The following is a 9,969-nucleotide window of genomic DNA, read 5'->3' as shown; positions in this document are numbered from 1 at the left end:
CAGCAACCCACAGAGTGGGCACCCCTTGTGCTCCCACATTACAGACGGGGAAACTGAGGCACAGGGCAGTAGGGTTGCTGAGCACAAGGCAGGGCCTGAATTTGGTCCCAGGTGGGTGAACCTGAGTTCACACCCCCAAAGAAGGAAAGAATATTCTCTGAAGACAGAGCTGGCTTCTCCTGACACCACTCATTTATTCTCTTCACACATTCCTAGCTCTTCTACAGCAGGCCCTCTGCTGGGCTTTGGTGCTGAGGGGCACCCAGTCGGTTCTGGACTTGGAAGAGACCCACCAGCAGGAGAGCCAGGATGGCAGCATTGACAGCAACGACAGCACCCTCAGGAGGAAGTGACCAGAGAGGCAGCTGAGGACAGGGGACTCCAGAGGAGCTGACACCGCTGCCTGGGGGCGAGGCAAGGCTTTCATCTGCTGGGCCTTGTGCTGGGTTTGATAAAAGGTGGCAGTGGATGTTTCAGGCTGGGCAGGGGGCAAGGGGTGAAGGACGTGAACTTCCCCACAGCCAGGACACTAAGATGGTGACCTCACCAGGTGAGTCCTGCGGGCATGGAGCGCCCGCATGGTGCTGGGCCAGCACGATGTGCGATACTCATCCTGCCTGCTCTGCTGGGGCCCTTGTTGCAGACGATGGTGTTGGGTGGGGAGTGGATCTGTTGGACGCTGCTCTGTAAGAGCCACTGGGACAACAGGTGCTGCTGAATGACTCCCCCAGAGAGACCGCACCCGCCTCCACACCCTCCAAAGGGGCCCAGGAGGCCCGTTCCCATCGCCCAAATGGTGACCATCCCAAACCTGGGTGGGTGGGGTGGGTGCAAGTTTCCTTGGTGGAGGAGGCAAGGGCACACTGTTTGGGGCCATTCTGAGTGTGAACACCAGGTGGCGGTGCAGACCCAGATTATTAGGTGGGAGTAAGCAGGGGCTTGCCTGAAATTTGGCCTTGAGGCTTTTTTTAGGGGCCTGGGGTCTGGGAGGCTGCTGCATTGGAGCTGTTTGCTTCCTCCCTGCCAGAAGCAGGTCTGGACTGGAGTTGGGTCAGGGACACTGTCTGGTCACCACTGTATCCTGAGCCTGCCACATAGTGGGTGCTCAGGGCTATTTATCAAATGGAGAATTGAATAAGTGGTTCTTGCCTCATGGGAATTAAATGAATTAATATATTAAAAGCACATGGAGAGCCATCAGTGAAAGTGTGCAGCTATTTGTATTTGTATTATGGAGGGTGGTTCTTCTCATCAGGGCCCACCTATCTGGGCTCAGTGCATCTAAACTGTGGGCCCTGCCCTGGGATTTGGACAGCCTCCACCAGCATGGGATAAAGACTGAACCCCAAGGCCTTACCACTTGATGCAGCAGCCCTGTGGGCAGCTGGGGGACAGAAGGGGCCTGTCGTAAGCACTGAGGATGACACAGGGGTCAGGCCCCTAGGCCTCACCACACAGCTTCCATAGCAGGGGGAGAGCCAACCTGCTACTGTCCCATAAGTGCTGTCAGGACTGGGCCACTGGCAGGGTTAGCTAGCCGGAGGTTAGGGAGGGTGAGGTTGGGGCATGCCCCTCAGTGGTCAGGGCCCAGGCTCTCAGAGTCATCTGATCATTCCCTCCCAGGCTTTTCTCACTGCACACATTTGCCTTCCCTGAGACCTCCACTGTAAATGCCTGTCTCATTCTTACTTCAAATCCTGGCTCCCTTCCCTGCCCACCCAAGGCATTGTGCAGAAAGCCGCTCCCAGACGCCAACCTCTCTCCCCCAGCTCCTCCCCACAGAGCTCTCATGAGCTCCGTCAGCCACCCCACCTGACTCAGAGTCTCAGTAAGGCTGAGTGACTTGTCCTAGGTCACACAGGATTTGCACCCAGCTCTGTTGAACTCCTACAGCAGGCTTGAACAGGCCTGGGTTACCTCTGCATCCCTCATGGTGGGTTCCTGAGTGTGTCACCAAGGGCCCCCTCCTTTTGGCTCCTGCATCCCCCAACATGAACAAGTGAGATGGGGACATTTGCCACCTCCAGCAACCTGGCTGTGACTGGGAGGGAGGGTAGGAGATGTACCACCTCTTCCGCATATATCATCTCCAGCAAGGCAGACAGCAGGAAACAAGCCGCTCCTGAACCAGGACTCCTGGTGATCCAGTGCAGCAGGGATCCCGGTGATCCAGTGCAGCAGGCGGCTGGACTCCAGGGAGGAGCTGCGACTGGCCCCACATGTCTTTGGGCTTCCAGAGGAGGCATGCCTCATGGCGAGTCAGCTCTGCCTCCTATAATACCATGGGTCCTGGTGCCAGGTGTCCCAGACACCCCTGTCCAAGGGCCCTGGGGCAACTGCATTCTTCTGAGTGCCCCTTGCTACATGAATGAGCTTATCTGAATCCCAGCTCAGCCACCATGCAACTCCAGGCAAGTCCCTGAACCTCTTGCCTCAGTTTCTTCATCTGTAAAATGGGGCAGGTCCTCCTACTTGATAGAATTAAGAGTTCAATGCCAGTGAGTACCAAGATATGGGAAAAAAAGTATAAAAAGAGTTCAAGCCCTAGGTTTGAGACCAGCCTGGGCAACACGGTAAGACCCCCATCTCTACAAACAAACAAACAAACAAACAAACAAACCTTTTTTTAATTAGCCAGACATGGTGGCATGTGCCTGTAGTCCCAGCTATTAAGGAGGCTGAGGTGGGAGGATTGCTTGACCACGGGAGGTCAAGGCCAGCCCGGGTCACATTCTCCACTTTAAAGACCCTGTCTCTAAAAATAAAAATAAAATAAAATAAAATAAAATAGTCCGTATTTGTAGAGGGTCTAGAACAGTGCCTGACACGTAGGAACACTAGGTAAATATTTGCTTAGTAAATGACACGCTAAAGGTCTGAAAGGTGGCCCACGGGGAACAGAGCTTTTGCAGGGGTGGGGCCTCTGAGCCACACACAGGCTCAGCCCTCGAGCAGCCCTGAGGTCCACAGGGTCTGCAGGGCCACCCAGTTCTAGATTATACTTCCCGGCTCCACGGTCTGGAAGGTCTAAACCTTAGAGTGGCCCCAAGTGCTAAAGTTGCCTCTACCTAGCAGTGCATGTGCCCTCACCAAGTCCCCCACTGCCAGGTGGGGGCAGGGTCATGGGGCAATCCCCTGCTCTACACCTGGCTTGACCTGGAGCCTCCTGAAGACACAGCCCAGACTCGGATCCAGCCTGGGAGAGGTGAGTAGGGGCAGCTGGGGCAGGTGAGAAGGATGGGACAGGGCCTGAGCTGTGGGGCCAGAGAACCCTCTGACCTGGCTCTAAGCAGCAGCCTTGGGCCACAAGGTCATGGAGTATTTTTCCACCAGGGAGGATGGGGTGAGCCCTCTGGGTCCTGAAAATTCCTGAAAACTGGTGGGTGGCTGAGGCTACTTGGCCGCTTCCCCAATCACTCCTAATACAAGAGCCACAGAAGGGCTCAGGGCCTAGGAGGGCTGGGGGTCCACAGGCTGCAGGGGATAGGCTGGCTCCTTTCCCCAACCAGTTCTCTGTCTGGCTCAGGAATGCTCACTGCCTTCCTAGTCCCCAGGCCACAAACCAGGGTCTTCTCCCAGCCCCCAGCCCCCAAGGCTAGTCGCTCTCCTCCCCACAAGACTCATAGGCATGACATAAGTACCACCTGGCCAGATTTTCCTGGGCCTCCCACCCACCCCTACCGAGCTCCCAGACACACCCTATTTGCCAATGCCCTTCTATCCTCCTACTCGGGCCTGCAAGGCTTCTTCTGAACTATGGAATGCCCCAGTCTGGCCTCCAAGGTCCTCAACCTGCTGCCTCCCATCGTGCCCAGGCCATCTGCTCAGACAGCAGCCAGTCTCCTGCCTCTGCGCTCTCTGCCCATGCCTGTGCCAGGATTACTTCCCACCCTGCCCCTGGCTGGGCCTTGCCTCCCTGCCATCTTTCCAGCTCTCTGGCAATTACCCAGGTGATTAATTTGGCAATTAATTTGGTAATTAATCATGCTTCTGCTGCTTAGGATGCTCCCTTTCTGCCAGCCAGGCCTGGAATAGAGATCTACTTGGCTTGACTTTCCCTGGGAAATGGGGTTGAGCCCTGGAGGCAGGAGAGGCGGTCCACTCTGAGTCCCATTGCCTGGCCCTGAAGCAGCCTTGGGCCAGGGGCTGCATGCAAAGGAGCCCAGGATTTAGCTGAGATAGAGACCCAGGTCCTGCCTCTGGGGAGGCCCCAAGGGTGCCCCAGGATGCACCTTAGCATTGTTTCTCAGCCTGTCTCTAGCTGCAGGAACTCACTACCCACACTGTGGCCCCAGCCCCAGCTCAGCCTTCGCTCAGCCCCCTGGTGACTTTTCCTCCAGGCTCCTGGGGGAGCTGGGCACTGGTGGAGAACCACCGTCCTGGTCCTAAGTGAGTTCACAGCCTCCTGATGCCTTGGAACAGGTCAAGTCCTTCCATCTGGTGAGACGGACTGTGCAGCCTCCTGACAGGCACCATTTCAGGCGGGCTTTGATCGACAGCAGGATTTAGTGGCAGAGGAGAAACTGAGTCCTGGTGCCCAGTGGGGTTTGCGGCCGGGTCCAACCCAGGTGGCCCTGGCCTTGTTGTGGTCTCCAATGGGGCTAGCCACCAGATGTGTAGCCCTACAGGTACAACCACCAGATGCACTGCCGGGACGGGGTCCCCGTGGAGTCAGCCCTATGGCATTGATTGAAATGCCCCCCTGCCAATTAGGAGTTTTAAAGAAATGTATAATGATCCCTAATTGGCACCCTCATTAGTTGCCAATTAAACACTTAAGCATTTCTTACAAGTTTAACACATTAATAAGGCAGCTCATTACATGGTAACGAGATTTATTTCTCATATTTATTATATTGTTTCACCACTACTGACAGCAGAGTTATTTTTTAAAAACATGGTTTCTTACTGATTACATACAGTCCCCTCCCTACCCTGCCTCGACCAACAGCTGTTCCTGCCAGTGCCCTGAGCCTTGCGTCCTGGTGGGCCAGGAGCCAGTGTCCTGGGTCCTCCCTGATTCTTTTGGTCCAGCCTCCCAGAGGTGAGTCAAGCAGGGCACCTTCTTCCCAAAGTCTGGAAGGGCCAGAGCTGGGCTGTGCAACACAGCACAAACCCGGAGGGCTTCAGGGCCAAGAGCCCTGGAGAACCTCTGTGCATTTAGCCAACCTCTGCATTCCAGGAGCACCTGGGTGGGGTGGGGGATGGGCTTCCTGCTTTCAGCACCCTGGTAGAGCCCAGTCTCAGGACAGGCACCACACTAGGGGCTGACACTGAGGGCAGGAGCACAGCAGCCAGGGGAGGACAAGGAGGTCCTTTGAGACTGTCCCCTCAAAGGGGGCAGGAGGAGGGTTGCAGATGGTGGGAACTGGGCTGAGACCAGGAACCTGGGAAAGGTTAGGGAGTCTACAGGATGGGTGGCCAACAGAAGCAGACCCTCAAAAGCAGTGGTGGGGACCAGGCACAGCAGTTCACGCCTGTAATCCCAGCACTTTGGGAGGCCGAGGTGGGCAGATCACTTAAGGTCAGGAGTTCGAGACCAGCCTCGCCAACATGGTGAAACCCTATCTCTACTAAAAATATGAAAAAATTAGCAGGGCGTGGTGGCACATGCCTGTGGTCGCAGCTACTCGAGAGGCTGAGGCATAAGTATAGCTTGAACCTGGGAGGCAGAGGTTGCAGTAAGCCAAGATCACGCCACTGCACTCCAGCCTGGGTGACAGAGCGAGACTCTGCCTCAAAAAAAAAAAAAAAAAAAAAAAAGCAGTGGTGAGGATCTGACCTCCTGACCTCCATCCAGAGGACAATGGGGAGCCACAGAGTGTTTTGAACAGGGAGAGATGTGACCAGATCTCTGGGTCAGAAAAATCAAGTGAAGGGTGGACTGGAAAGGGCCAAGGGAATAAACACAACCTCCCCATCCTGCCTGCTAAACTCCTGGGGGACTCCATTGTCCAGATCCAACTGGACGCCAGAGGGCAGAGCCAGACGAATGCCACCTGTGCAGCTCAGCTTCCTGGGAGATGGGGCCAAGAGGCCTTGGGGACATTGGCAGTGTTTGGGAACACTTACCCTTCTTCCTTTTAAAAAACATGAGGTCACCATCCAATACATATACTATACCTTGTCCTTATGGCCCTACGTGTGGCTCTGCCTCCCCCTTATTGGTTCCAGTAATTGCAGAGTATATATGGTGAGGAAGCTCCCTATCCACTCAGCCAGGCTTCCTGGAGTAGGCTGTTTCCAATCGATTACTCTTAGAAACATCATGCAGTGAACACCTTGGGCATAATTTCACATGCGTGTCAGTTTGTAAAATAAATTCCTAGAAGTGGGCAGTGCTAGGTCAAATAGTCTATGCATTTTTAATTTTGATAGATATTGCCAAATTGCTTTCATGAAGGCTGCACAGATTACATTCCAATGAGCAACTCTAAGTTTCTGATTTTCCCCATGGTCACCAGCAAGTGCATCAATCTTTCATGGCTTTGCCTATATAATTTGCATCTCTCTTAAAGAAATGAGGGTAAGCATGGGTTCAGTGGTTGAGACTTTTGGATTTCCTTTTGTGTGAACTGTATGTTCATCTTGTTTGCCCCATTTCTCAATGGGATTCTTGGTCCTCTCCTTATCAATTTATAAGGACCCTTTATATATTATGAAATTTGCATTTTTTTCCTTAACTTGTTGTTTGTCTTTAAACTTTTATTTATTTATTTATTTTGAGATGGAATCTAGCTCTGTTGCCTATGCTGGAGTGCAATGGCATGATCTCGGCTCACTGCAACCTCTGCTTCCCAGGTTCAAGCGATTCTCTTGCTTCAGCCTCCCGAGTAGCTGGGATTACAAGCACTCGCCACCACACCCAGCTAATTTTTGTATTTTTAGTAGAGATGGGGTTTCACTGTGTTGGCCAGGCTGGTCTCGAACTCCTGATCTTGTGTTCCACCCGCCTCGGCCTCCTAAAGTGCTAGGATTACAAGTGTGAGCCACCGCGCCTGGCTATTACTTTTTTCCGTGTAGAAATGTTTGGTTTTTGTGGAGTCAGGTGTATCCATGTTTTCTCTTACGGCTTTTGTGTTTTTTGTTATATTTAGAAAAGGCTAGACCAAATCAAACCTTTGTTTTTGCCTAGAGATTTTTTCTTCATTCTTTAGTCCCCCTACCTTTGATCCAGCTAGAACTGGTTTTTGTTTTAAGGTGTGAGGTAGGGGTCCAAGTGGATTTCCACCCCCAGATTATCATCCAGTGATTTCAACACCATATTTTCCCAGAGGTTATGCTTGACTGAGTTGTTGAGACTTTAGGAAGTGTATGACAGGGGAAATAGCACATCCTGTTGCCTGGTGGGTGGAAAGGGGCAAACTTTGTCAGGACACCATCCCCAGTAGGACAGGGTGAGCTGGGTGGGATTTACCTCCTGGAGGTTGAGGAAAAGGAGGTAAAGGTCCATGGGAGGAACTGCACTTGACTTTTCCCTTGGATTCCAGGAGCAGTCCATTTTTGTACCCAATTTTAACTTTGCCTGCCACATCACAATTCCTTCAGTAGACTTTGTGACTTTGACATAATCTTTTTTTTTCTTTTCTTTTTTTTTTTTTAGACAGGGTTTCACTTTATCACCCCAGGTTGGAGTGCGGTGGCGCAATCTCGGCTTACTACAGCTTTGACCTCCCCTGCTCAAGCGATACTCCCACCTCAGCCTCCTGAGCAGCTGGAGCTACAGGCATGCAACACCGTGCCTGGCTAATATTTAAAAAATTTATTTGGAGAGATGGGGTCTTGTCATGTTTCCCGGGCTGGTCTCCAACCCGTAGGCTTAAGCAACCCACCTGCCTTGGTCTCCCAAAGTGTTGGGATTACAGGTGTGAGCCACCGTGCCTGGCCCCATGCCATAATCTTGAGCTTGAGGTGTAGAAAGGAACTATATTCCTTCCTGAGGGCCCTCTGCTGGGGGTTCCTGAGCAAGCCTCCCCTCTTCCCCCCACCCCTGCCCCTGCTCTGGAACTAGGGGTGGTGTATTATGACACAAGTAGGTGACAATGGGGTGTGGAGGAGAGCCTCATGGGACTCAATCCAGGTCCTGCAAGAAGAAGACCAGCAGCATTTGTGAGTAAGGCGAGGACAGGGCAGGCAGGGCCCGGCTAGGCCGCACCCACCTCCCAGCTCCACCTTCTCCCTGCCTGCCTCCCAGATCCCACTCTTCCCTCTCTTCCATACACCAAGACCCATTGTGTGTGCCCCTGGATGTCATTTGGGCCCTCTGTTCCCCTTAGTATAGTAGAGGCCAGACAGGCATCCCTGATGCTAGATTGGCCTTGCTAGCATTCTGGAAGGCTATGGTGGGCAAATGTCTGATGGCACCTGGGGAGGCTCTGAACCAAGCTGAGTGAGGGCAAAGGTTGCAGGCCAGGATGCTGACCTGGAGCAAGGAGTGCATATTCTACCTCCCTGTGCCTCTGCTCCCTCAGGAGCATCCTTCCCTCCACTGCCTTCTCCAATTCCTTCTGGGAACTGGAATAGCAGGTGTTTTAGGTGCTTTACGTCTTTCAGCCACCAGGTGGCAGCAGTGCAAGCCCTACTCTGCCTCACTCCATCCCCTCCTTGGAGCTGTGGATTTAACCTCCAAAGAGACTCTGAGGTCCTCCAAAGAGTTGAGGAAAGATGGGGTCATGCCCCCCCACTCCCCCAGGCACAGGAACCCCTTCAATCTCAGAGGAATGAGGGGCCTGTGGCCCTGGCTCCCTTCCTAGCCCCACCCCTGTAGAAGCTGCTGGGGCAGTAGCTGAGCTGGAGGAACAGACTGGATGCTACTAGGGTGAGCCTCAGGGTCTAGGCCCCCTGAGATGCCCACACTGACCAGGCCCACTAATTCTCAGATGTCAACCAGAGAGGACCCTTCCTGGAGCCCAAGGAGGCAGGGAGTGTAGAGGGAGAGAAGAGGAGCCAGGACCTGGCTGGCTCCTCCACTGCCCCTGCCTGGTTACCCACCCAGGGCTCAGCACCAGGGTGGTGGTAAAGGCTCTGGCACTGGCCTCCCATGGGCTGAGCTGAGCTGGGCCCCAGAGCTACCCCCCCCACCACCCCACACACACCTGTGGAGCACACCTCCCCTCCTCCCCACAGAGGGCGGTGTCCAGGAGGGTTTATGGATTCTCCCAACATATTGTGCCCTCCTCTGCCCCATCTTGTCCCCATTCACAACCCCTGCATCAATAAGGCTGCACCAACCTCCTCATAGTCCACTACAGCTCCATACCCCTCTCATTTGTCTCCATCATTGGGGGTGGAGGTGCCCTGACTTGCTAATATCTACATGCACCCCCCTCTGGGTTCCAGCCACAGGGGCCAGCCCAGGCAGGGCTCAAGGAACCTGCTTTCTGGGTGTGCAAGGTCCTTGGGTCCTGGCCATCTGAACCCCCTCTGAGAGCCTAGATCCAAACCCATAAGCCTTTACATGGAGTCCCTCAGAGATGGGCAGCCTGTTGCCCTGGAAACACTCCTCTTGTTTCCTGTCCATGACCAGGGCCTGCCTTATGCTGACCTGAATGACCATGGGGACTCAGGCACTCATGGATGGGTGGGGAAAGCAGCTGGGACCTCGGTTCCTATGCAAGGCTTGGTGAGGTGCCTCCTCTTTGGGGCTCCCCAGTGCTAAGGGGAGATAGATAATAAACAGGTGTGTCAACAAAACAAGGCATTTTCAGGCTCTGGAGGAAACCAACCAGGACTGCATGGGAATAAAAATGGAGGGGGCAGATTCTGATGGCGATCAAGGAGGGAGGGCACCTTCAGCACTGGCTGAGACCTGAATGTCAAGAGTTGCTGGCCATGCAGGGATCTGGGACAGAAGGGTTCCAGATGAGGGGAAAAAAACAGCAAAAGCAAAGGTCCAGAAGATTCTTGGGGAAACAGCAGGAAGCTGATGTGGCAGGAGGGGAGCGGCATGGGCAAGGAAATGCCAGGGCA

At 53.8% G+C, this 9,969-nt stretch overlaps 2 annotated features.

Annotated features, from left to right (window-relative positions):
* Positions 775 to 1,713: an enhancer, noted in NCBI's record as "H3K4me1 hESC enhancer chr3:50586902-50587840 (GRCh37/hg19 assembly coordinates)". NCBI's record gives its function as "activates a minimal SCP1, AML or CMV promoter by ChIP-STARR-seq in primed H9 embryonic stem cells {active_cell/tissue: H9 hESC(primed)}" and the evidence as "EXISTENCE:reporter gene assay evidence [ECO:0000049][PMID:30033119]".
* Positions 2,786 to 3,695: an enhancer, noted in NCBI's record as "H3K4me1 hESC enhancer chr3:50584920-50585829 (GRCh37/hg19 assembly coordinates)". NCBI's record gives its function as "activates a minimal SCP1, AML or CMV promoter by ChIP-STARR-seq in naive and primed H9 embryonic stem cells {active_cell/tissue: H9 hESC(naive and primed)}" and the evidence as "EXISTENCE:reporter gene assay evidence [ECO:0000049][PMID:30033119]".

Source organism: Homo sapiens, chromosome 3 (genome assembly GCF_000001405.40).
Source record: "Homo sapiens chromosome 3, GRCh38.p14 Primary Assembly".
Lineage (NCBI taxonomy): Eukaryota > Metazoa > Chordata > Mammalia > Primates > Hominidae > Homo > Homo sapiens.
The sequence above is the reverse complement of the archived record's forward strand: the minus strand, read 5'-3'. Positions and strand labels throughout refer to the sequence as shown.